Here is a 26,557-nt window from a genome sequence, read left to right as displayed (position 1 = left end):
AGACATTGTTGGATGAATTGATGGATGGAACGATAGATGGATATATAGAGGGAGGAACATTTACTAAATAACTGACAAATGGTAAATCTGCTTTTAACAAACGGCTGTGGAAATTTCCATGCTGTACTGCTAAGTTACCCATGATTTTCCTTTTGATACATAACAGTGACTTTGATCTAAACAGTTTCATTTTACCTTATGTATGTAGACATAACTTTCATGCTTGACAAAATGCTCCATAAGTATTCATATCTCTTTGTCTTAAAAGAAACTTTTTAAGGAGAGGGATATTTTATTTTATTTTTGAGATGGAGTCTCGCTGTGTCGCCACGCTGGAGTGCAGTGGTGCGATCTCTGTTCACGGCAACCTCTGCCTCCCGGTTTCAAGCGATTCTCCTGCCTCAGCCTCCCGAGTAGCTGAGGCTACAGATGCACGCCACCACACCCAGCTAATTTTTTGTATTTTTAGTAGAGACGGGGTTTCACCATGTTGGCCAGGATGGTCTCCATCTCTCTCTCTCTTTTTTTTTTTTTTTTTTTTTTTTTTGAGACGGAGTCTCTCTGTCACCCAGGCTGGAGTGCAGTGGCGCGATCTCCGCTCACTGCAAGCTCCGCCTCCCAGGTTCACGCCATTCTCCTGCCTCAGCCTCCTGAGTAGCTAAGACTACAGGCGCCCGCCACCATGCCCGGCTAATTTTTTTGTATTTTTAGTAGAGACGGAGTTTCACCGTGTTAGCCAGGATGGTCTCAATCTCCTGACCTCGTGATCTGCCCGCCTCGGCCTCCCAAAGTGCTGGGATTATAGGCATGAGCCACAGCGCCCCGCCAGATATTTTTTAAAATATTAATTAATTAATAAATTTTTGATACAGGTCTTGCTCTGTTGCCCAGGCTGGAGTGCCGTGGTGCGATCATAGCTCACTGCAGCCTTGATCTCCCGGGCACAAGTGATCCTTGGACTCAAACAATCCTCCCACCTCAGCCTCCTGAGTAGCCGGGACCACAGGCATGCAACACCATGCCTGGCTAATTAAAAAAGATATTTCTTTGCAGAGACAGGGTCTCACTATGTTATTCAGGTTGGGTCTCGAACTTCTGAGCTTAAGCAATCCTCCTGCCTCAGCCTCCCAAAGTGTTGCGATTACAGGCATGTGCCACCGTGTCTGGCCTCTGATTTATTTATTTATTTATTGAGACGGAGTCTCCCTCTGTTGCCATGCTGGGGTGCAGTGGCGCATTCTTGGCTCACTGCAACCTCTGCCTCCCGGGTTCAAGCGATTCTCCTGCCTCAGCCTCCTGAGTAGCTGGGACTACAGGCGCGCACCACCACACCCAGCTAATTTTTGTATTTTTAGTAGAGATAGGGTTTCACCATGTTGGCCAGGATGGTCTCTCTCTCCTGACCTCGTGATCTGCCCACTTCAGCCTCCCAAAGTGCTGGGATTTCAGGCATGAGCCACTGTGCCTGGCCTCTTTTCTAATTAATACTTTTTAGTTCTAAGTCAATATTACGCAAGTGAGAATTTTTTGTTTGTTTGTTTGTTTTTTTGAGATGGAGTCTTGCTCTGTTACCCAGGCTGGAGTGCACTGGCACGATCTCAGCTCACCGCAACCTCCACCTCCCAAGTTCAAGCAATTCTCTGCCTCAGCCTGCCGAGTAGCTGGTATTACAGGCGCCCGCCACCACGCCAGGCTAACTTTTGTATTTTTAGTAGAGACGGGGTTTCACCATGTTGGCCAGGCTGGTCTCGAACTCCTGACCACCCACCTCGGCCTCCCAAAGTGCTGGGATTACAGGCGTGAGCCACTGCGCCTGGCAGCAAGTAAGGCTTTACAATATAATTACATTTAAAGATAAATAAATAAATTACAGAAGACGTTGAGGGCTAAATTTACTTTGGGAACAGATTATTTTTCAAAAAACTTTTCATTTTGGGCCAGGTGCAGTGGCTCATGCCTGTAATCCCAGCACTTTGGGAGGCTGAAGCAATTGGATCACGCTGTCAGGAAATCAAATATTTGGCTAAAAATACAAAAATTAGCCAGGCGTGGTGGCATGTGCCTGTAATCCCAGCTACTCGGGAGGCTGAGGCAGGAGAATTGCTTGAACCTGGGAGGTGGAGGTTACAGTGAGCGGAGATCCAGCCACTGCACTCCAGCCTGGGCGACAGAGTGAGACTACATCTTGGAAAAAAAAATAGTTACACGTTCACGGGAGGTTGCAAAGAAACATATAGGGAATTCCTATGTACGCTTCCTCCAGCCTCTGTAAATGTTGACTTTTTTTTTTTTTTTTTTTGAGACGTGGTCTTGCTCTGTCGCCCAGGCTGGAGTGCAGTGGCACTACCTTGGCTCACTGCAACCTCTGCCTTCCAGGTTCAAGCAATTCTCCTACCTCCACCTCCTGAGTAACTGGGTTTACAGGCTCACACCACCACGCCTGGCATTTTTTTTGTGTGTGTTTTTAATAGAGACGGGGGTCTCATCATGTTGGCCAGGCTGGTCTCAAACTCCTGACCTCAAGTGATCAGCCCACCATGGCCTCCCAAAGTGCTAGGATTACAGGCATGAGCCACCGCGCCCAGCCAAATGTTGACATTTTACGCAGCTATAGCACAATATTAAAATCAGGCAGTTGAGACTGGTATAATCCATAGAGCTTATTCAGATTTTACCTGTTACACATGCACTTATTTGTGTATGTCTGTGTCTGTGTGTGCATTATCTTTTTGCAGATATTGCACTGAGAAATTAAGTCATCTAGTTCTTAAGGTACACGGGTATATATTTTAATAGAACTATAGAATTTGATGCTGTGTTGGGAGAAATGTTTCTTACACCGAATTTTGCTTATACACAAGTAACGTAGCTCAAGTTAAGTTATCTGCCTGGCCCATGTATGCATTTTTTTTTTCATGTATGCATTTTATATTGTCACTTCTGCTGCCCAGAGCAGCCTCCTATCTGCTCAGGTAGGCCATCTCAAGGCAGAACTATAGTCCTGGATCTGGTCATAAGTTCAGGTTCAGATACTGACCAGCATTAGGGACATGGAATCACAGTAACCAAAATCACAAGTCTAGCAAATGACAAAATTCAAGCATATAAAAATACTTATTAATTTAATAAATGATAAGGAACACCTGTGTGCTGGTTAGTATACTCTCTCTCCCTGTAGACAACTCATATATGAAATAAAATTACATTCAGAATACAGTGATGACATCAGAGCAAGCAGAGTAAGTTTGATGAATGAATGCTTTTATACCTGTAGTAGGGTTTGACCCCTGTGAGAAGACCCCCAGTGATCCCTGCCTCCGACTATTTACAGCTTGTGTGATTCCCCTCCCCTTGTATATAGGTTGGACTGAATAACTCACTTTTTTTTTTTTTCAGAGGGAGGCTTGCCCAGGTTGGAGCACAGTGGTGAGATCTCAGCTCACTGAAACCTCTGCCTCCCAGGTTCCAGCGATTCCCCAGCCTCAGCCTCCCCAGTAGCTGAGATTACAGATGTGTGCCACCACGCCCAGCTAATTTTTGTATTTTAGTAGAGACAGGGTTTCACCATGTTGGCCAGGCTGGTCTCGAACTCCTGACCTCAAGCAATCCACCCGCCTCGGCCTCCCAAAATGCTGGGATTACAGGCGTGAGCCACCGTGCCCAGCCTAAATAACTCACTTCTAACAAATGGACATAGAAGTATTAATAACAGGATGCCACTTCAGAGATTAGGTTACAAAAAGACAGTGGCTTCTTCTTGAAAACTTTCTCTTGTTCTTTGCTCTGAGGAAAGACAATTGGTATGTTGTGAACTGCCCTATGGAGAAACTTCCAGTGAAAAGTCATGAGGAACTGAGTTCTTCAGTCCAACACCTCATGGGGTTGAAAACTAAGTCCTACCAACAACCATGGGTGAGCTTGGAAGTAGATCTTCCCACTGATTTCATGAGTGACCCTGAGCTAGAGGCACCCAGCTAATGAGCACCCAGATTCCCGACTCACAGAAACTGTGAGACAATCTATGTTTGTTGTTTTAAGGCACTAAGTTTTGGGATAAATTGTTAGTAGCAATAACTAACAATACCAATCATACGATGTGAAATACTAATTTGAAGCATTAAAATAGAATAGAGGAAGGAAATAAATTCAATAGGTTGTAGTTTTGTGGGTTTTTTTTTTTTTTTTTTTTTTTGAGACACGGTCTCATGCTGTCACCCAGGCTAGACTACAGTGGTGTGATCATGGGTCACTGCAGCCTCCATCTGCTGGGCTCAAGTGATCCTCCTACCTCAGCCTCCTAAGTAGCTGGGACTACAAGCACACACCACTATGCCCAGCTAATTTTTGTATTTTTTTTTTTTTTTAGAGATAGGTTTTCACCATGTTGCCCATGCTGGTCTCGAACACTTAGGTTCAAGCAATCCACCCGCCTCCGCCTCCCAACGTGTTGGATTACAGGTGTGAGCCGCCATGCCTGGCCAATAAGTTGTAGTTTTTTTTATAGCTTCTTAGACATCAAATCATACTGACTAGATTCTTATTAGTGGCTAATTTAATCCAGTTTATGTTGAGTCTTACTAGTTTTACTTTCAGGGATCACCTTCAGACAAACTTCTGTTTGCATCTAACTATTGATTCCAACATACTGCATATACCTACTGACAACTAAATATTTACTGATTCATTCATACATAAATTCATCACGGCTGCTGGAGATTTAAAATGGCATCCAAAATGGCATACTAATTCCCTTGGTCTTTATTTTGTTTGCTTTTTTAGAGATAGGTTTTTGCTCTGTCAGCCAGACTGGAGTGCATCCAGGCTGGCACAATCATAGCTCACTGCAGCCTTGAACTCATGGGCTCAAGTGATCCTCCCACCTCAGTCTCCCAGGTAGCTAGAACTACAGGTGCAGGCCACCACATCTGGCTAATCTTAAAAAAGTTTTTTGTAGCCAGGCGCAGTGGCTCACGCCTGTAATCTCAGCACTTTGGGAGGCCGAGGTGGGCGGATTACGAGGTCAGGAGATCGAGACCATCCTGGCTAACACGGTGAAACCCCGTCTCTACTAAAAGTACAAAAAATTAGCCGGGCGTGGTGGCGGGGGCCTGTAGTCCCAGCTACTTGGGAGGCTGAGGCAGGAGAATGGCGTGAACCCAGGAGGCGGAGCTTGCAGTGAGCCGAGATCGCGCCACTGCACCCTAGCTTGGGCGACAGAGCGAGACTCCGTCTCAAAAAAAAAAAAAAAAAAAAGTTTCTTGTTTTTTTGTAGAGATGAGTCTCACCATGTTGCCCAGGCTAGTCTTGAACTCTTAGTTTCATGTCATCCTCTCACCTCAGCCTCGCCAAATGCTGGGATTACAAGTGTGAGCTACCATGCCCGGCTACAAAAAACCTTGGTCTTTATTTTAGATTAATGTTTATAAGACAGTTGAATGCTGAATTCATTCTTTAAAAACGCTTTTTTCTTTTTACAGAAAAGAAATAAATATTTAATGTTCAACATTTAGAGAAATAGACAAACAAAAAGAAAGTGAAAGTCACTTTTTTTTTTTTTGAGACAGGGTTTCACTCTTGCTGCCCAGGCTGGCGTGCAATGGCGTGATCTCAGCTCACTGCAACCTCCGCCTCCTGGGTTCAAGTGATTCTCCTGCTTCAGCCTCCTGAATAGCTGGGATTACAGGGGCCCACGACCATGCCTGGCTAATTTTTTGTATTTTTAGTGGAGACAGGGTTTTACCATGTTGGCCAGGCTGGTCTTGAACTCCTGACCTCAGGTGATCCACCCACCTTGGCCTCCCAAAGTGCCAGGTTTACAGGTGTGAGCCACTGCGCCTGGCCGAAAGTCACTTTTGAATCTGACACTTAGACAGGACTGCTATTGAGATTGAATGTACTTTTTTTTTTTTTTTTGAGATGGAGTCTCACTCTGTCACCCAGGCTGGAGTGCAGTGGCATGATCTTAGCTCACTGCAGCCTCCGCCTCTTGGGCTCAAGTGATTCTCCTGCTTCAGCCTCCCAAGTAGGTGGGATTATAGGTGCCCGCCACCATGGCCAGCTAATTTTTTGTATTTTTAGTAGAGATGGGATTTCACCATGTTGGCCAGGCTGATCTTGAACTCATGACCTCAGGTGATCTGCCTGCCTTGGCCTCCCAAAGGGAGGGATTACAGGCATGAGCACCGTGCCCAGCCTGAATGTGCTCTTGAATTTCAGTTGACAGCATTTGCCTTTCCTTTCAAAACTTGGGAAAACACTCTATCCTTGGTTAAACAGATAATTGATTTCTTTAAAACTCAGTTTCCTTAATGAAATATCTGAAAGTTTAGCTGTATATATCTAATCTCTAATAACTCAGTATCACAAACATTTAAGATTTAGTACGAGCCTCGGCGACATGGCAAAACCCTGTCTCTTAAAAAAAAAATACAAAAATTAGGCTGGGCGCGTTGGCTCACGCCTATAATCCCAGCACTTTGGGAGGTGGAGGTGGATGGATCACCTGAGGTCAGGAGTTTGAGACCAGCCTGGCCAACATGGTGAAACCCTGTCTCTACTGAAAAATACAAACATTATCCAGGTGAGCCGGGCGCAGTGGCTCATGCCTGTAATCCCAGCGCTTTGGGAGGCTGAGGTGGGCAGATCATGAGGTCAGAAGTTTGAGACCAGCCTGGCCAACATGGTGAAACCCTGTCTCTACTAAAAATACAAAAAATTAGCCAGGTATGGTGGCGGGCGCCTGTACTCCCAGCTACTTGTGAGGCTGAGGCAGGAGAATCGCTTGAACCTGGGAGGCGGAGGTTGCAGTGAACTGAGACCATGCCACTGCACTCCAGCCTGGGCGACAGAGTGAGACTCTATCTCAAAAAAAAACAGATAAACTAAAATAAAATACAAAAATTAGCTGGGCATGGTGGTGTGCGCCTATAGTTTCAGCTACTAGGGAGGCTGAGGTCAGAGGATCGAATGAGCCCAGGAGGTGGAGGTTGCAGTGAGCCCAGATTGCACCACTGTACTCCAGCCTGGGCAACAGAACAAGAGCCTGTCTCAAAAAAAAAAAAAAAAAAAAAAAAAAAAAATTAGTACCACTTACTGATGTTATAAGCACTATACTAGACAACTTTTTTCCATTATTTTATTTAAACCTCACTGAACCTTGTGTGTTGGGTAATAAGATTACCCTCAGTTTTCAAATGAGTAAACTAAGGTTTAGAGAGGTTAAGTAATCTCCCCAACCAAGATCATAAAAATAAGGAGTTTCATGAAAGGGATTCCATCTCAGTTGTTTGACTATAAAACTTATGCACACACCACTCTGCTGTAGTTTCTCCCTCAAACTTTTTCCCCATTATACTTTTTAAAAACGCAAAATGTCATTTAAAAAAACTTTCATAGTCAGAAAAATCGTCAGATTCCAGTTATTAAAAAACCAACCTAATTTATCCACACCTCTGTACCATTCCTTTGAAAGTTTTTGAAGTTAGTGTCTCTAGGCAAAAATTTTAAGATCTAAAAGAAATATACATTAATAAAATTCTTTTCCTGCTGAAATAAAACAGTGAATGTTACCAGTGATTTGCCTCATTTTGAAACTGGAACTATCATCAGAGAGCCAATTTCCATTTATATAAAATGACATAATACTGTTTCTGATTATAATTTCTGTAAAGTTATAGCCAATTGTTACAGTTGAAAACTAGATGTTTTTCAGCAAAATGTCCTGCGGTTGTGCGGTTTTATTATAATGAAATAAATGCGTGGTTTGGGAAGAAAGAGCAGAGAATATGACCATGGAATGCTAGAATAGAAACAAATTTAGAGACCACCTACCTCATCCTCCATATTTTAGAGATGAGAAAACTGAAGCCCAGAGAGTTAAACATTTCTGTCTCTTTTAGGTTGTCATAGTACACAAAGTATAAGATTAATGGCCTGTGAAAATTTTCATTTGATAATTGAGACAGTCTTGCAAATAAACTTAACCAATTTCTAAAGCTGTATAAATAAATGAAAAAAATTAAAAAATATAATACCTGGTACATAAAAGTTGCATAATACATATTTGTGAGTGAACAAATGAATAAAACAATTTATTGCAGCCGGGCATGGTGGCTCACGCCTGTAATCCCAGCACTTTGGGAGGCTGAGGGGGGGTGTATCACCTGAGGTCAGGAGTTTGAGACCAACCTGGCCAACATGGTGAAACCCGTCTCTACTAAAAAATACAAAGAAATTAGCCAGGCATGGTGGCACATGCCTGTAGTCCCTACAGTCCCAGCTACTTGAAAGGCTGAGGCAGGGAACTGCTTGAACCTAGGAGGCCGGGGTTGCAGTGAGCCGAGATTGCACCATTTCACTCCAGCCTGGGGAACAAAGCGAGACTCCCTCTCAAAAAAAAAAAAAAATTGCTTTCATTTTTCAAATTCTCTCATGGTCCTTAAAAAAAATACATATATATGTATATTCATTACTTTAAAAATAAATAAAAAATACATATGTGTATATTTTGAGACACCCAAGCTGGAGTGCAGTGCAGTGGTGCAATCATGGGTCACTGCAGCCTTGACCTTCTGGGGTCAGGTGATCTTCCCACCATAGTCTCTCAAGTAGCTGGGACCACAGGCACATGCCACCACACCCAGTTAATTTTTTGCATTTTTTAGAGATGGGTTTTTGCCATGTTGCCCAGGCTGGTCACCAACTCCTGGGCTCAAGTGATCCACCCACCTTAGCCTCCCAAAATGCTAGGATTACAGGCACGACCCACCGTGCCTGGCTGAAATTATATATATACATATAATTATTATATGGAGTTTCGCTTTTGTTACCCAGGATGCAGTGCAATTGCATGATCTCGGCTCACTGCAACCTCTGCCTCCTGGGTTCAAGCAATCTCCTGCTTCAGCCTCCTGAGTAGCTGGGATTACAGGTACCCGCCACCATGCCCGGCTAATTTGTGTATTTTTAGTAGAGACGGGGTTTCACCATGTTGGCCAGGCTGGTCTCGAGCCCTGACCTCAAGTGATCCGCCCGCCTCAGTCTCCCAAAATCCTGGAATTACAGGCCTAAGCCAATGCACCAAGCCTGAATTTATATTTTATATGCAGTCATACTACATACATATAATTTGTTGCTTTGCTTTTTGTACTTGAGTTACTGGTGCCCACATTCTTCCATATTGTTATGAAATATAATCCTTTAAAGTACTTACTGCAATTACAATACTTCTAAGTCGAATTCCGAAATGATCATAAGTAGAGGTGAATCCAGGTTTTGGGGAACTCTCATTAAGAAAAAAAAATGTAGCCGGCCGCACTGGCTCACATCTGTAATCCCAGCATTTTGGGAGGCCAAGGTGGGCAGATCATGAGGTCAAGAGATGGAGACTATCCTGGCCAAAATGGTGAAACCCCGTCTCTACTAAAAATACAAAAATTAGCTGGGTATGGTGGCGTGCACCTGTAGTCCCAGCTACTTGGAAGCCTGAGACAGGAGAATCGCTTGAACCCAGGAGGCAAAGTTTGTAGTGAGCTGAGATGTGCCACGGCACTCCAGCCTGGCGATAGAGCGAAACTCCGTCTCAAAAAAAAAAAAAAAAAAAAAAAAGCAGAAATTTCTAATGACTTCTGGATTCTGGTCAGCAGAAATTGAAGAAAAAAATTGACTTTGTGAGATCTTTGGGGAAAAATAAAAAAATACAAAAATAGATTACTTTTAAAATTTCCACAAGCCCAGGTGCGGTGGCTCATGACTATAATCCCAGCTACTTGGGAGGCTGAGGCAGGAAAATCACTTGAACCTCAGAGGCAGAGGTTGCAGTGAGCCGAGACTGCGCCACTGGATTCCAGGCTGGGTGAGAGAACGTGACTGTGTCTCAAAAACAAAACAAAACAAAACAAAAAAACAAAAAACAGAACAAAAAAACACCCCAAAATCATCCAGGCATGGTGCCATGTGCCTGTAGTCCCAGCTTGGGAGGCTGAGGTGGGAGGATCACCTGAGCTAGGAAGGTCAAGGCTGCAGCGAGCCATGATGGCACCACTGCACTCCAGCTTGGGCAACACAGTGAGGCCCGTCTCAAAAAAGAAAAAAAAAAAATGTATATGAAAAGTAACAACTACTACAGAACATTTGGAAAACAGAGAAAAGAAAAAAAGAAGCACCTATAATTTCATCAGACTTATGCTATATTCCCTTCTTGTGTTTTCTTCGTTAATGCAGATTCCGTTTTATAAAAACATGCTTGAAATAAGTAGACCCAGTTATTTTCTTCTCACCAAAAGTTTAGTATTAGGGCATTATTACTATTATTATTATTTTGAGACGGAGTCTTGCTCTGTCTCCAGGCTGGAGTGCAGTGGCACAATCTCGGCTCACTGCAACCTCCGACGACTCCCTGGTTCAAGTGATTCTCCTGCCTCAGCCTCCCGAGTAGCTGGGATTACAGGCATGTGCCACCGTGCCCAGCTAATTTTTGTATTTTTAGTAGAGACGGGGTTTCACCATGTTGGCCAGGACGGTCTCGATCTCCTGACCTCGTGATCCGCCTGCCTTGGCCTCCCAAAGTGCTGGGTTTACAGGAGTGTGCCACCACGCCCGGCTAAGGGCATTATTATAATGGAATATTTCACATTCTTGGCAAATCCCAATTATATTTTATATAAAACAACTTCAGAAAAATCAAGAAGAAAAAAGGTCTGTGTTTTACTGTTGTATTTCCATTCTTATTTTTAAAATTCGTGTTCAAGATTATGATTCTAATGTATACAAGAATGTAATATTCTGCTTTTTTTCTTACATTATATCATAAGCCTTTCTTCATACTACTGCATACTACTAAGGCAACATTCATAGTAACTAGAGCATCTGAGAATAAGATTTAGTTTATTAAACTCAGTCAGTACAACTGTAAGTGAAAAGCTAAAGGTAGGCAAAAGTGTGATAAATCAGAAATACAGAATGAGTGCTTTTGGTTTGCCTGCAGGTATAATGTAGAAAACCTAGACAGGGAAGTTGGAACTCAGAAATTCAAGCCTTCCAACTGAATGTCTAAGTCAACAAAAAATACCAACATAATCTTAAATTGTATATATACTTTTCTTTCTTTCTTCTTCTTTTTTTTTTTTTGAGACAGGATCTCGCTCTGTTGCCCAGACTGGAGTACAGTGGCACAATCACAGCTCACTGCAGCCTCCACCTGGAGGGCTCAAGTCATCCTCCCATCTCAGCCTCCCAACTACAGGCACACACCACCATGCCAGGCTAATTTTTAAAAATTTTTGTAGAGAGAGAGTCTCTGTATGTTGCCCAGGCTGGTCTCGAACTGCTGGGTCAACTGATCTGCCATGGTCTCCCAAAGCGTTGGGATTACAGGTGTGAGCCACCACACCTGACCTGTTTTTTCTTTAATAATTGGGAACGTGGCAGAATATTATTCAGTGGTAAAGACTTATTGTGATATGATATTATTATTAGGGTTTTCATTCTCAAAATTGGGTAAATGTACCCCCAAAGAGGTTTTTCTTTAAAATTTAGCAAAGCTGGCTGGGCCTGGTGGCTCATGAATCCCAGCACTTTGGAAGGCTGAGGTGGGCAGATCACCTGAGATCAGGAGTTCGAGACCAGCCTGGCCAACATGGAGAAACCCCATCTCTATTAAAAATACAAAATTAGCCTGGCACAGTGGCGCATGCCTGTAATCCCAGCTACTCAGGAGGCTGAGGCAGGAGAATTGCTTGAACCCAGGAGGCAGAGGTTGCGGTGGGCTGAGATCATGCCATTGCACTCCAGCCTGGGCAACAAGGACAAAACTCCATCTCAAAATAAAATAAAATAAAATTTAACAAGGCAACACAAATCCTTACTGTATAGAACATGCCAAAATTTGGTCATGGTTTTCAGGATTCAATGACATTTGTTATTGGAAACCAGCTTTTACGTTTTAAATAAGCTTTTGCATTGACATTCATTAATTTCATAGCATAAACTTTTTGCTTTCAAGCTTCTTGTTCCTTTAATGTTGTCCTGTTGTAGGAATTCAAGCCACATTTTAAAAATTCAAAAACGTAACATACATTGAGGAAACAGTCCATATGTCCGTTGCTGAGTGAATGAACAAAATGTGGTATATACATATAATGGAATATTAGTCAGCCTTAAAAAAGAGGGAAATTCTGATGTATGCTACTCTGAAGACATTATGCAAAAAAGCTAGTCACAAAAAGACAAATACAGTACAATCCCACTTATATGAGGTACCTAGAATAGTCAAGTTCGTAGAGACAGAAAACAGAACAGTGGTTATCAAGGGATGGAAGGAGGAGGGAAAGGACATTTATTTTTATTGGGTATGAAGTTTCAGTTTGGAATGATGAAAAAGTTCTGGAGATAGATGATGGTCATGGTTCTACAACAATACGAATGTACCTAATGCACCTGAACCATACACTTAATATTAAGATGGTAAATTTTATATTATGAATATTTTACAATTAAAAAAATCCCCCAATCTATAACATACATTGGGAAAAGTGCATTTTATCTGTATATTCAGTTTAACAAATAATTACTAAGCAAATATATGTAATCACCACCTAGCCCCCAAAATGAAATATTATCAGAGTAACCTGTGTCCCTCCCCATCACAACCCTCTTCCTTCCTGAGTAACCACTATCATGGCTCTAACATTTGCTTTTGAAAATCATATACTGTGATGTGGTAATGCAGGATAAGTTAAATCTACACTACAAAACGCTACAGAATATTTCTTTTAATTTCAATTTTTCCATAAGTGCCAAAAAAAAAAAAAACAAACCCACTTAATAACTTTTAAGTGCTCTTTCTCCCCTTCCTTTGCTCTTGAAACTTCTCATTCTAAAACCTATTTTGGTTCCACAGTTGACCTCACCTGCAGAGTTTAATTAAAAAAAAAAAAACCTTCAGTGTAAATTTTCATTCCTCCTGCTCTCCCTTGCCTCCAACTACAAAGAAACAATGATTTAAACCCTTTGTGCCCTTTTAGAAAATTACACAGATACCCCATTGTGGAACCCTATAATCCCTTCGTGGAAAGGAAGAGATTAGCATATGAATACAAAGCAAAATGAATCCAGAATACAAAATGATCTACTGGATTGTGAAGCTCTTGTATGCTTAAAAATGTATTTATTTCCTCTTTTTGTATTGCCCCTTTAGTGGTCTCGGGGTTAAGGGAATTGAGCTTCCCTTTCTGGTTACCCGGAAAAGGATTAAAAACAAAACAAAACAAAAAACAAAAAAACACCAGATTCTAAGAGGTGCAAAGCCAGCAGATGGCTCACAGCACCAGTGGAATCGCCAGTGGAATCTGCTACCCTCGACACGAGCCTGCTTGCCGGCGAGGAGTGTAGAAAGTGCTGTTCACAGACTGCGTGGTGAAGGAGAGAAAGCGACAGAAGAGAGAGCCATAGTGCTGACGTTGAAGGCCCGGCCCTGTGAGGTTGCACAGGGTAAGTGGCGTTGGCCAGGCGGCAGCGGCGAAGGGGAAGGAAAGAGGATTTGAGCTGGGGGCGGGGCTTGCGGCACAGCGTGGCTCCTGATTGTTGGAGTGCGGCTGCCAATCTCGCAGAATCGCTCGGTTAACCAGTGCGCTGGCGAGACGCGCTCAGATATACTGAGTGAGCCCTGAGAAGCAGTCTCAGATCCTGACGGTGCAGCAGCCCGCAGCCTCAGCCAGGGAGTCCCAGCCGCTTTCAATGGAGGAGAAGCCCGGCCAGCCACAGCCTCAGCACCATCACAGCCACCACCATCCGCACCATCACCCTCAGCAGCAGCAGCAGCAGCCGCACCACCACCACCATTATTATTTCTACAACCACAGCCACAACCACCACCACCACCATCATCACCAGCAGCCTCACCAATACCTGCAGCATGGAGCCGAGGGCAGCCCCAAGGCCCAGCCAAAGCCGCTGAAACATGAGCAGAAACACACCCTCCAGCAGCACCAGGAAACGCCGAAGAAGAAAACAGGTCTGGGAGGGAGGACGGGTGGGGGAAGGGGGTTGGGGGTGGAGGACAGGAGAGATGGGGGTGGGGCTGGATCCGAAAAGCGCGGACGGGGTCGGGGTGTGTGTGTGTGTGTCCCCTCCGGCTCTGGGGATGCCCCTTTCATTCTAGAGCTCGGGCTGAGCAATGGGGTTTGCAGCGCCCTCTCCTTCCCTCCAGCATGGGAGAGGCCCAGCCAGGCCAGCGTGACCTTCCTGGCCCCGGCCCCGGCTGAAGGGAGACCTGCTGGGTCGGCCTTGCAAGTCCAACCTCATTATTCTTTTCCCATTCACCTCCCTGCGTCCCTGGAGTTACCTCAATTTGGGGGCCCTGAGATGGGGTAAACCTACCCCCCCAAAAAATCCCTCGAGGTGTAACTCAGGAAGGCCTAGCGAATCCCGACTCGGATGGTGTCGCGAGACCCTTTTGCAGGCGGCGAGGAGTGGGTAGGTAGGGTGAGTTGAGGAAGTGCCCCTCACCCGCCACCCCAAGCCCACCTGTGGCCTTGGGGCTCCCCGTCTCGGTGGGGGGGGCTGTTGGGACCCCTCATCTCACGGGTCATTTCCACCACTAAACGCCCTTTTTGGGCGCCGGACCCCGCAGTCTTGTCCCGCGGCTCCTCCCGAGGCCGGCGCCCCGCGCCCGCTCCCCCCAGAGCCGGCGCGGCTGGAATGTTCTCTCCTCCTCGCGGGGCCGCTTCCTGTCCGCCATGTTGGAAGCCGATTCCTGTCACCGACTCCGGCCCACTGAGGAGCGGAGGGGGAAGGGTGTCGAGGGCCACACGGGGCGGCGGAGCCGGGTGACCCGGGATCACCACCGGCCGCAGCCTCGCCCCCTGCACTGCGGGGGCGCCGGCGCCCCCCGCACCGCGGCCGCCCCCCCCCCCGTCGCCGGCCGGGGTTGTGTAACCCGGTGGCGGCGCGCGGCCCCGGGCGGGTCCCTGGGGTGAGGGGCGGGGGCGGTTGGGGTGGGGGAGGGAAGCGGCCACGAGGGGAGCGGCCTGCGCAGGGCCCCGCGCGCCAGCGGCCGCGTTTCCCGCTCCCGGGTGCGGCGGGAGGCGCGGGCAGTCGGGGCGGGGAGCCGGCCTCGAAGCGGAGCTGAGAGGGAAGGAGGCCGCGGGCGGCGGCCGCGGCGCTCCTAGAGGCAGGAGGCCTGGGGGGGCGGCGGGGGGATTCATTTCGGGTAGAGGCGGTGCCTGAGGCCGGGTGGGGTACCCAGCGGGAACCCAGCTCCCCGGTCACGAGTTTCTCTGCCACAGGAACCTCGTCTCCTGCCAGGTTCGCTCACGACTCCGCCTCTGAGGCTTTCACTTGGGCCTTTTCCTTCTAGCAGCTCATTTTCTACAAAAAAAAAAAAAAAATCCAAAAACCTTGTTCCATTCCCCTCCCGACCCAGCACTTACCTTCTGAGCTTGGGTAGTGTCTTTGAGGTGAGGGATTTTAAAAAATGTTAGGATGGGGAAGAGTGCGAGCTTTTTGACCCCTCTTTCTTGTCCTTAAGGGTGAACCCAAGTGGCTCATCCATGAGGTTAGACTACTACCATCTTGCCTCGGATGAGGCTTCTCTCCGTGTTAAAAAGAAAGGTGTTTTTCGTATTTTAAAATCGATATTGATCCCCAAACTAATCTTAATAAACGAGAAATTGAGGGTAAAAGTCATGTAAGAAAGTATTTCACGAGAAGTGAGTTTAATAGTTTATAACCCACGCAGATTTTAAAAAATAAGGGCTCTTTATAAATCGAAGAGAAATGAAGCGTAAGAAAGCGTATGTTAAACCCAGCGTATCAAATTTGATAGAAGGAATTGTTGAGAGCTGGAGAAATACTAAGTGCTTTTTTATTGCAGATTGTAACTTGAAGACTGAAATTAGAATGTCAGATTTTCCATTTTGGGACTTCGTAGGGACCCGATAGTATGCAATAGAAGTGAACACATACGCACGAGTTAGGTGTTTTAATCCTAAAGATTTGGAACAGTTTAAAAACTGTTAGGGACTATATAACTAGATTTTTTAGCATTAGATCTTGTTCAAAAGATGAGAAAATACTACCATATTATGGCTGCATAAGGCAATATTACTGTTGAGATTGAAAAATTGTATCTCATCGGTCAGGTTAATATACTCTTGCCAGACTTCTCTCTACATGTGGAAGCAACCGCTGAACCATTCAAGGTGGTATTCCTCCAAATATTTCTTGTCTTGGAAGGGGTGGATAAAGAGGAGGAAACTGGAATTAGCAGTTTTGACAGAATGTAAACAGTTTGGGGCGAGTGTATGATTTGGTCACAGTACTGTTGCTTTGACATGCATAATGCTAATAACTAAGAAAACATTACAATATTTTTGAAATTTATCTGTAACATGTTGAGGTAGGCTTTGGTAATCCATTGCTCACAAACCTAAAGAGGAACAGTTTTTTTTAATCCAGAAGAGGGCGCAAGAGAAGGCCAAATGTGTTGAGTAATTTGTTTCTAATTGAAAAGCTAGATGTATCAGGACTCAAGTTTTGCTGAGTCTTTTGGAAGTAGGGTTAGTATAAGCAGCCCTAAATAAAGCGCTAGGAATCCTTTAATTTCTTAAATTTATTCTATAATGTTTACATTTTTCTTAAATATCTACTATTTAAAAAGAAAATTTCTTTCCAGCATACTTCATACATATCACAAGGTTGTCATGAGAAAAACTTTATGTAGTTAAACAAGATTTTCTTTTCTTTTTTTTTTTTTTTTTTGTTATTAAAACTTGCGGGCGGGAGCACAGTGGCTTCTAAGCCGTTTTTTCATTGTTTGGTGATTTCCAGTATCTGAGTCGCTACATACTAGTAATCTTAGGAAGAATTATTCTTGTTAGCTTTGGTTCAGCTCAGTTTGGAGATTGGATTTTTTGCTATTTCAGATTGCTCATCTTTAATTGAAATCTGAAAAGTTGTGACTAATGGGCCCAAGGATACAAACCTTTGTTTAACCTGTTAGCATATTAAATGATACAGGTAGGTCTTATCCAGAGTTAGGTAAGGAGATAAAGTTATATCTGTTAAAAATGATGAGAAGAGCCTTTATTTAGGAACTTTATGCTTTTCTTTCTTTCTTTCTTTCTTTCTTTTTTTTTTTTTTGAGACACAGCCTTACTCTGTGGCCCAGGCTGGAGTGCAGTGCAGTGGCATGATCTCGGCTCACTGCAACCTCTGCCTCCTGGATTCAAGCGAATCTCCTGTCTCAGCTGGGATTACAGGCATATGCTACCATGCCCAGCTGATTTTTTTTTTCTTTTTTTTAGTAGAGATAGGACTTCACCATGTTGGCCGGACTGGTCTCAAACTCCTGACCTCAAGTGATCCACCTGCCTGGGATCCTAAAGTGCTGGGATTACAGATGTGAGCCACTGTGCCTGGGATTTTTCTGAGGAAAAAAGCTTTTAGAAAACATCCTAAGCAATAATCTCTTTCTTGCTGTTTCATAGTTAAAATTGTGCCACCAAAAATTTGATTTGATTGGCTATCATAGCTTTTCCAGCAGCCAAAAAATTTTTAAAAATGTAACCCTGTGGAATCTAAGAACTCTTAAGAGTTCTAAGAAATCTAAGAGGCCGGTGTGGTGGCTCTCACCTGTAATCCCAGCACTTTGGGAGGCCCAGGCGGGCAGATCACTTGAGGTCAGGAGTTCGAAACCAGCCAGGCCAACGTGGCGGAACTGGGCATCGTGGTGCATGCCTGTAATCCCAGCTACTCTGGAGGCTGAGTCAGGAGAATCTGGGAGGCGGAGGTTGTGGTGAGCTGGGATCACATCACTGCACTTCAACCTGGGCCACAGAGCGAGAATCTGTCTCAAAAAAAGAAAAAAAATAACTGTTATAAGATGTATTCTCTCGTGGTACAAGTTTTGTGCCAGTCTGTTTTAGGAATGATTATGCCTTGAGTATGTTTTCTTGGGTTACTTTAATACAGGAGAAGAAAATGCCTTTATTTGTTCAGTTTTAGTATTTGTACTTTTTTTTCTAATGTAGAATGAGTAAGTCCTGTTGTGAATCTAATAGACTTCTCCATTAATTTATTTTGGAACAATGGTTCTCAGACTTATAAAAATGGCAGTATTCCTATTAGACTCCTCACTTCCTGCTGCCTTAAATGTGTGTGGAGTGTCCTTCTATTGTGTATCTTTCTTTTTTCTTTTTTTTGGAAGTGGAATTTTGCTCTTGTTGCCCAGGCTGGGGTGCAGTGGCCCAATGTGGGCTCACTGCAACCTCTGCCTCCCGGATTCAAGCCATTCTCCTGCCTCAGCCTCCCAAGTAGCTGGGATTACAGGCGTGCACCACCATGCCTGGCCAATTTTGTATTTTTAGTAGAGACGGGGTTTCACCATGTTGGTCAGGCTGGTCCTGAACTCCTGACCTCAAATGATCCACCCACCTTGGCCTCCCAAAGTGCTGGGATTATAGGCATTAGCCACTGCACCCGGCCTGTATATCTGTTTCTAATGACTTGACCTCAAGATGCTTTTATGAACATTTCATAAAAAGGTAGATAACTAATAGCACCATTTTGTTACAGTGGAAAACTATTTGAATCACCTATAATAGAATTGACTTTTTATGGTAGTTGAAGGTTTTTTTTTCTTTTCTTCTTGAAAGAGGGTCTCACTTTGTCACTCAAGCTAGAAGGCAGTTGTGCCATCTCAGTGCATGTTCACTGCAGCCTCGACCTCCTGGGTTCAAGCTATCCTCCTCCCTCAGCTCCCCCAGCTGGGAGTATAGGCACATGCCCCACGCCCAGCTAATTTTTGTATTTGTAGTAGAGACAGGGTTTCTCCATGTTGCCCAGGCTGGTCTTGAACTCCAGCAGTCTGCCTGCCTTGGCCCTCCCAAAGTGCTATGTTTACAGACATGATCCACTGGCAGTTGAAGACTTTTAATTAAACCTGAATACCATAACACTAAAAAATTGGATTCTTTTTATTGTTGTTTTGTTAGTAAATATTTTCTCATTGCATCTTTTGAGTCAAGGCAGTATTACATAGTGATAGGAAACCATGGATTGCAGATAGACTGGCGGTCAGATTTCCAGTTCTGTCACTTTGACTTGGGCAATTTACTTCATCTCTCTTAAAGTCTTTTTATCTAAATGTAAAATGAAGAAAGTATGTTTTATAAAGGTTGGAAACATTGGTACGTAGATATTTTGGTTTCACGTATTAACAATATCCAATATCTGGGAAATGTCAAAATGAAATTTAAGAATACTTTAGAAAAAGTTGACAAGTGTTAGATATTTGTCTGATAGATGCCTTGGAAACTGCTGATAGTGACTACCAGCTATTTATGGTTTTGTAGAAATGAAGTCTTTAATTTCCTTGTAATAATTACTGTTTCAATAAAACTTGATTTTTGCCCAGAGGGCATCTCTGCTCTGAATTGTAAAGAAAATTTTAGGCCGGGCGTGTGGCTCACGCCTGTAATCCTAGCACTTCGGGAGGCCGAGACGGGCGGATCACAAGGTCAGGAGATCGAGACCATCCTGGCTAACATGGTGAAATCCTGTCTCTACTAAAAATACAAAAAGAATTAGCCGAGCGTGGTGGTGGGCGCCTGTAGTCCCAGCTACTCTGGAGGCTGAGGCAGGAGAATGGCGTGAGCCCGGGAGGTGGAGCTTACAGTGAGCGGAGATAGCGCCACTGCACTCCAGCCTGGGCGACAGAGTGAGACTCCGTCTTGAAAAAAGAAAATTTTATAACAGCCTTGTGAGAGTGATGGGTAGATTGATTCTGTTAGATGAGAGGTATTTGGCATACTGCTTAAGAGGTCTTGTCTTCTCTGGCCTCAGACTTTGGTTTGAATCTTCGCTGAGTTCTACCTCTTGCTTTGCTTAGCAGTAGGTTGCATTTCCTAGTCTGTAAAATGGGGCTGACAGGTGTCTTCTCATAGAGATGTGAAATAATATAAAGCTACAGCTCATAGCATAGTGTCTAGCATACAGTAAATAGTTCTTAAATGTTAGGTATTAGTGTAATTTACATGTTGTGATTTTTTTTTTTAATCCTTTTTTTCCCCTCCCCTAGGCTATGGTGAACTAAACGGTAATGCTGGAGAAAGAGAAATATCTTTAAAGAACCTGAGTTCTGATGAAGCCACCAACCCTATTTCCAGGGTCCTCAATGGCAACCAGCAAGTTGTAGACACTAGCCTGAAGCAGACTGTAAAGGCCAACACCTTTGGGAAAGCAGGAATTAAAACCAAGAATTTCATTCAGAAAAACAGTATGGACAAAAAGAATGGGAAGTCTTATGAAAATAAATCTGGAGAGAATCAGTCTGTAGATAAGTCTGATACTATACCAATTCCAAATGGTGTGGTAACAAATAATTCTGGTTATATTACTAATGGTTATATGGGTAAAGGAGCAGATAATGATGGTAGTGGATCTGAGAGCGGATATACAACTCCTAAAAAAAGGAAAGCTAGGCGCAATAGTGCCAAGGGTTGTGAAAACCTTAATATAGTGCAGGACAAAATAATGCAACAAGAGACCAGTGTCCCAACCTTAAAACAGGGACTTGAAACTTTCAAGCCTGACTATAGTGAACAAAAGGGAAATCGAGTAGATGGTTCGAAGCCCATTTGGAAGTATGAAACTGGGCCTGGAGGAACAAGTCGAGGAAAACCTGCTGTGGGTGATATGCTTCGGAAAAGCTCAGATAGTAAACCTGGTGTGAGCAGCAAAAAGTTTGATGATCGGCCCAAAGGAAAGCATGCTTCAGCTGTTGCCTCCAAAGAGGACTCGTGGACCCTATTTAAACCACCCCCAGTTTTTCCAGTGGACAATAGCAGTGCTAAAATAGTTCCTAAAATAAGTTATGCAAGCAAAGTTAAGGAAAACCTCAACAAAACTATACAGAACTCTTCTGTGTCACCAACTTCATCTTCATCATCTTCATCATCTACCGGGGAAACTCAGACCCAATCATCAAGTCGCTTATCCCAGGTCCCTATGTCAGCGCTGAAATCTGTTACTTCTGCCAACTTTTCTAATGGGCCTGTTTTAGCAGGGACTGATGGAAATGTTTATCCTCCAGGGGGTCAGCCACTGCTAACTACTGCTGCTAATACTCTAACACCCATCTCTTCTGGGACAGATTCAGTTCTCCAGGACATGAGTCTAACTTCAGCAGCTGTTGAACAAATTAAGACTAGCCTTTTTATCTATCCTTCAAATATGCAAACTATGCTGTTGAGCACAGCACAAGTGGATCTGCCCTCTCAGACAGATCAGCAAAACCTGGGGGATATCTTCCAGAATCAGTGGGGTTTATCATTTATAAATGAGCCCAGTGCTGGCCCTGAGACTGTTACTGGGAAGTCATCAGAGCATAAAGTGATGGAGGTGACATTTCAAGGAGAATATCCTGCTACTTTGGTTTCACAGGGTGCTGAAATAATTCCCTCAGGAACTGAGCATCCTGTGTTTCCCAAGGCTTACGAGCTGGAGAAACGGACTAGTCCTCAAGTTCTGGGTAGCATTCTAAAATCTGGGACTACTAGTGAGAGTGGAGCCTTATCCTTGGAACCCAGTCATATAGGTGACCTGCAGAAAGCAGACACCAGTAGTCAAGGTGCTTTAGTGTTTCTCTCAAAGGACTACGAGATAGAAAGTCAAAATCCTCTGGCCTCTCCTACGAACACTTTGTTAGGCTCTGCCAAAGAACAGAGATACCAGAGAGGCCTAGAAAGGAATGATAGCTGGGGTTCTTTTGACCTGAGGGCTGCTATTGTATATCACACTAAAGGTAACTCATTTGTTTCCTATACAAAGATTTTTATTGGCCAATTTAGTATATTGTTTATATTAAGAGAATTTTAAGAGAATTAGTTGTTCATATTAAGAGTATTTTAAGAGAATGACAATGTGGATAAGCAGCTGGTGTCAAACTAATTCAGGGTCCTTGGAACTAGTATGATTAAAATTTAGAAGAAATGTTCACTTTTCCAACTTAAAAGGATTTTTAAAAATACAAACATAATTGACCTACCTGGTTCAAAGAACAGAAGTGAGGAGAACTTGCTTAAAGGTATTGATGTTATATTTTCTCTTGACTGAGTGCTTGAAAAAAAATTTTATTGAACATATGTTCTCCTTCCGTGGCTTTTTTGTCTTTGCTTTTTTGTTTTGTTTTGTGTTTTTTTTCTTTGAGATGGAGTCTCACTCTCTTGCCAGGCTGGAGTGCAGTGGCGTAATCCCGGCCCACTGCAACCTCCACCTCCCAGGTTCAAGTGATTCTCCTGCCTCAGCCTCCTGAGTAGCTGAGATTACAGGCACGCACCACCATGCCCGGCTAATTTTTGTATTTTTAGTAGAGACGGGGTTTCACCATGTTGGCCAGGATGGTCTTGACCTCTTGACCTTGTGATCCACCCACGGCCTCCCAAAGTGCTGGGATTACAGGTGTGAGCCACCACACCCATTTGCTTATTTGTTTTTGAGACAGAGTCTCACTCTCTCACCCAGGCTGGAGTGCAGTGGTGTGATCTTGGCTCACTGCAACCTCCGCCTCTTGGGTTCAGGTGATTCTCCTGCCTCAGCCTCCCGAGTAGCTGGGATTACAGCCATGCGCCACCACGCCCAGCTAATTTTTGTATTTTCAGTAGACACGGGTTTCCCCGTGTTGGCCAGGCTGATCTCAAACTTCTGACCTCGTGATCCGCCCGCCTCTGCTTCCCAAAGTGCTGTGATTACAGGTGTGAGCCACCGTGCCCAGCCTCTCCTTTGCTTTTTATATCATATGCGTCTTTAATAGTGAGCTCATTTAATAGTTCTAATTTGATTAAAATGAGTAGAAGCACTGTTTTTGAAGAGGAGACTGATAAGTCTTGGAGTAATGGATGCCAGTTTGTAACTGGAAAATAAGTTAGACAAATCACAGTGTCAAGTATGATTAGCATAGTTGAGACCAGGCTCTTGGGATTCTCCTTTTCATAGCCCTAAAGCCCAAGTTTAAAGGGAACCAGGTATCTTTCAAGTTTCACGCTAATAACTTTCTTTTCTTTTTTTTCTTTTTTTTTTTTTTTTTTTTTGAGATGGAGTCTTACTCTTGTCACCCAGGCTGGAGTGCAGTGGCGCAATCTTGACTCACTGCAACCTCCGCCTCCCGGGTTCAAGTGATTCTCCTGCCTCAGCCTCCCACGTAGCTGGGATTACAGGTGCCCACCACCACGCCTGGCTAATTTTTATATTTTTAGTAGAGATGAGGTTTCACCGTGTTGGCCAGGCTGGTCTCAAACTCCTGACCTCAGGTGATCCACCCACCTGGGTCTCCCAAAGTGCTGGGATTACAGGTGTGAGCCACCGTGCCAGGCCTCATGTTAATCACTTTCTTAGAATGTGGTTTGTTTGTGTCTTAAAGAAAAATTCGCTGTATGGCATAACTGTAATCTAAATCCTTAGAGCAAATAATGAGGTTTAACGATGATGTTTATATCCTTTTGCTTTTGAGAACAGTGGGTTTCAGTCTTCCCATCTTTCCTACCTCTTCCTCCTTTCTCTAACAGAAATGTATGCTCCATGCATGCATGTACACACTTAATACATAGTGCACATTCCCATTTTAACAGTGGCTCATTTAGGCAGTGACTTACAATTGCAGGGAAAGGGGACCATACCAGATTGTGGGAATTGGGTAATTACCATATTCTCTCTGGAAGAAATACTGCCTCAGGGATGAATAACAAAGTGATTTGTGACTTCTAAGCAAATTTCCTAGTCTGCATACGTTTCCTTATCTGCAAGCTGGAAGACATTGAGTATAATAAATAGATGTCCTTTTAATATCATTTTACTTCCTTAAAAATGGAAGTAGTAGAATTGCTTAATGGAAGTTTAGGAATCCTCACAGATAACATTTACCTGATTTCACTTATTCTCCAGCTCTGCTCTTTGAAGGTAAATACAGGAGTTGGTTGTTTTTAGCAATGTTAGGGCAAAAAGATAAATGCTTCGTTTTTTAAGACATGTGTTATACATTAGTTAACCTCTGCCAGGAGAGTTGGGTTTTTTGGTATTGTTTTCTGTGCCGTCTGCCCTCTAGAGACTATTACTGGAAAATGTTTACCGAAGTATTTTGCACTGGCGATCATTGTGTGAGCCTGAGAGGGTATCTGGTTGTGTTGTGTTCTCTTACCACCTCCAAAATATTCTGGGAGGCCCAGTGTGGTGGGTCATGACTGTAATCCCAGCACTTTGGGAGGCCGAAGTGGGAGGATCACTTGAGCTCAGGAATTTGAGACCAGCCTGGGCAACAATGTGTAGTCCCAGCTACTTGGGAGGCTTAGGAGGGAGGATCACTTGTCCCTGGGAGATCCAGGTCTGCAGTGAGCTATGTTTGCACCACTGCACTCAGGCCTGGGCAACAGAGTGAGACCGTGTCTCAAAACAAAACAACAAAATGTGTAGGATATGTTCCATTAGGTAACTGGTTAATAGTTCTTATGTACAATTTCTATTAGGTGGAATTGCAGGCCATTTTTAAATTGGAATGTTAACCTGAATTTACTCTTTATGCATTTTCCCTATCCATGGGCTAGCTGAATATGAAATCAGTGGTATTTATATAAGCTGAATACCCCTATATGGGTGCAGTTATATTTAGTTTTGCTGGTATTAATGAAAAAATTTGCTGTAGGTAAAGTGTCATCTTGAGTTCTGTATTTGGACATGATTGGAAATTAATCAGATTGGCATCAAAATTTTTACCCCTCTAGAACAATAAATAATACTCAGTTCAATTGGGTTCCAGAGTAGCAAGTTCTTTGAATTCCTGCCAAATGTTGATTGGTCCATTAGCAGTCCATTGGCCACTCATTTTTCTTTACTTGAATTATATTTGGAGATCTTTTATAAGTGAAGCCTTTTTTTTTTAAAGTTAACTCTAAAAGAAGTAATAATCAGTTGGGCTACTGGAATATCCTTTAAGAACATCTGTATTATTTTCTTTGTGCTTTAGTGTAGTTTTCAGATGTTCAGTAGTAATCTCTAAGTGAGTAGTTGAAGTTGGGCTTAGAATTGGAAGTTCTCTGCATTTCTCCTGACTTCAAAAATAAGCCCTTCAGCAACTTAATTTGGAAATAGTGGGTAAGAGAGTGCGTTATGTCACTTCTTTAAGAATGGTGCACTATTTATTTAACTTATATAAAGAAAGGTGTTTTTATTTTGTTTTTTGGTGGTTTTTTTTTTTTTTGAGATGGGGTCTTGCTCTGTTGCCCAGGCTGGAGTGCAGTGTCACAGTCTTGGCTCACTGCAACCTCCGCCCCCTGGGTTCAAGCGATTCTCCTGCCTCAGCCTCCTGAGTAGCTGGGATTACAGGTGCACGCCACCATGCCTGGCTAATTTTGTATTTTTAGTAGAGACAGGGTTTTACCGTGTTGGTCAGGCTGGTCTCCTGACCTCATGAGCCACCTGCCTTGGCCTCCCAAAGTGCTGGGATTACGGGTGTGAGCCACTGCACCCAACAAAGAAAGGTGTTTATTTGACTCAAGGTTTTGGCGGCTGGGAAGTCCAAGTGCATGGCGGCAGCTTCTGGCAAGGGCTTTTTTTAATACAGGAAGTTTTTAGATTAAGCAATTACTTGGAACCTTAAGCGTACTATGGATTTTTAAAAATTTGAGTGTTAAGTACAATTGAGGGTATGAAGTAAAGATACAATAGAGCATAAAAAGGGGATTTGTGCTGGGTGCGGTGGCTCACGCCTGTAATCCCAGCACTTTGGGAGGCCAAGGAGGGTGGATCACGAGGTCAGGAGATCGAGGCCATCCTGGCTAACAGTGAAACCCCATCTCTACTAAAAATACAAAAAATTAGCCGGGCGTGGTAGCAGGCACCTGTAGTCCCAGCTACTTGGGAGGCTGAGGCAGGAGAATGGCGTGAACCCGGGAGGTGGAAGTTGCAGTGAGCTGAGATCGTGCCACTGCACTCCAGCCTGGACGACAGAGCAAGGCTCCTTCTAAAAAAAAAAAGGGTGGGGGGTGGCGGGATTTGTGTGGATTCTAATTCCTTGTGTGGGATTTTCCTTTTAGCTGTTTTTTTTTTTTTTTTTTTTAAAGAGACAGGATCTCATTGTCACCCAGGCTGGAGTGCAGTGGCACTATCGTAGCTCATTGCAGCCTGGAACTGGGCTGAAGCTCTCCTCCTTCCTCAGCCTCCTGAGTAGCTAGTACTACAGGTGTATGCCACCATGCCTGGCCTCTTTTAGCTTTTTATATAATATGTTATGCCATTAACTTTTCTCTTTTTTTTTGAGACAGGGTGTTGCTGTGTTGTTGAGGCTGGAGTACAGTGGTGTGGTCATAGCTCACTGTAGCCTTGAGCTCCTGGGCTCAAGTGATCCTCCTGCCTCAGCCTCCTGAGTAGCTGGGACCACAGGTGTGCACCGCAATGCCCAGCTAATTTTTTTATTTTTATTTTTTTGAGATGGAGTCTCACACTGTCGCCCTGGCTGGCGTGCAGTGGCGTGATCTCGGCTCACTGCAACCTCCGCCTCTCAGGTTCAAGT

The 26,557-nt window shown here is 43.9% G+C and overlaps 1 protein-coding gene across 2 annotated transcripts in view, besides 7 other annotated features; it reads left to right on the top strand.

Moving 5' to 3' along the window:
• Positions 13,278-13,477: an enhancer, noted in NCBI's record as "active region_11971". NCBI's record gives its function as "activates an Ori minimal core promoter by ATAC-STARR-seq in GM12878 lymphoblastoid cells {active_cell/tissue: GM12878}" and the evidence as "EXISTENCE:reporter gene assay evidence [ECO:0000049][PMID:35858748]".
• Positions 13,581-14,341: an enhancer, noted in NCBI's record as "H3K27ac hESC enhancer chr17:27620471-27621231 (GRCh37/hg19 assembly coordinates)". NCBI's record gives its function as "activates a minimal SCP1, AML or CMV promoter by ChIP-STARR-seq in naive and primed H9 embryonic stem cells {active_cell/tissue: H9 hESC(naive and primed)}" and the evidence as "EXISTENCE:reporter gene assay evidence [ECO:0000049][PMID:30033119]".
• Positions 13,646-26,557, top strand: part of NUFIP2 (nuclear FMR1 interacting protein 2) — a 38,310-nt gene continuing 25,398 nt past the window's right edge. The window contains exons 1-2 of one of the 2 annotated variants that reach the window (NM_020772.3): positions 13,646-14,011; positions 20,078-21,802. In NM_020772.3, coding sequence (NP_065823.1) covers positions 13,735-14,011; positions 20,078-21,802 — 2,002 coding nt within the window. In that variant the 5' untranslated portion in view covers positions 13,646-13,734. Of the gene's footprint in view, positions 14,012-16,759; positions 17,017-20,077; positions 21,803-26,557 lie in introns of those variants that run through there. The other variant, XM_017024896.3, reaches the window with a different exon arrangement.
• Positions 13,788-13,887: an enhancer, noted in NCBI's record as "active region_11970". NCBI's record gives its function as "activates an Ori minimal core promoter by ATAC-STARR-seq in GM12878 lymphoblastoid cells {active_cell/tissue: GM12878}" and the evidence as "EXISTENCE:reporter gene assay evidence [ECO:0000049][PMID:35858748]".
• Positions 14,048-14,167: a silencer, noted in NCBI's record as "silent region_8371". NCBI's record gives its function as "represses an Ori minimal core promoter by ATAC-STARR-seq in GM12878 lymphoblastoid cells {active_cell/tissue: GM12878}" and the evidence as "EXISTENCE:reporter gene assay evidence [ECO:0000049][PMID:35858748]".
• Positions 14,798-14,977: a silencer, noted in NCBI's record as "silent region_8370". NCBI's record gives its function as "represses an Ori minimal core promoter by ATAC-STARR-seq in GM12878 lymphoblastoid cells {active_cell/tissue: GM12878}" and the evidence as "EXISTENCE:reporter gene assay evidence [ECO:0000049][PMID:35858748]".
• Positions 17,193-17,693: an enhancer, noted in NCBI's record as "H3K4me1 hESC enhancer chr17:27617119-27617619 (GRCh37/hg19 assembly coordinates)". NCBI's record gives its function as "activates a minimal SCP1, AML or CMV promoter by ChIP-STARR-seq in naive H9 embryonic stem cells {active_cell/tissue: H9 hESC(naive)}" and the evidence as "EXISTENCE:reporter gene assay evidence [ECO:0000049][PMID:30033119]".
• Positions 17,694-18,194: an enhancer, noted in NCBI's record as "H3K4me1 hESC enhancer chr17:27616618-27617118 (GRCh37/hg19 assembly coordinates)". NCBI's record gives its function as "activates a minimal SCP1, AML or CMV promoter by ChIP-STARR-seq in naive H9 embryonic stem cells {active_cell/tissue: H9 hESC(naive)}" and the evidence as "EXISTENCE:reporter gene assay evidence [ECO:0000049][PMID:30033119]".

Source organism: Homo sapiens, chromosome 17, assembly GCF_000001405.40.
Source record: "Homo sapiens chromosome 17, GRCh38.p14 Primary Assembly".
Lineage (NCBI taxonomy): Eukaryota > Metazoa > Chordata > Mammalia > Primates > Hominidae > Homo > Homo sapiens.
This window is presented reverse-complemented; position numbering and strand designations above follow the sequence as displayed.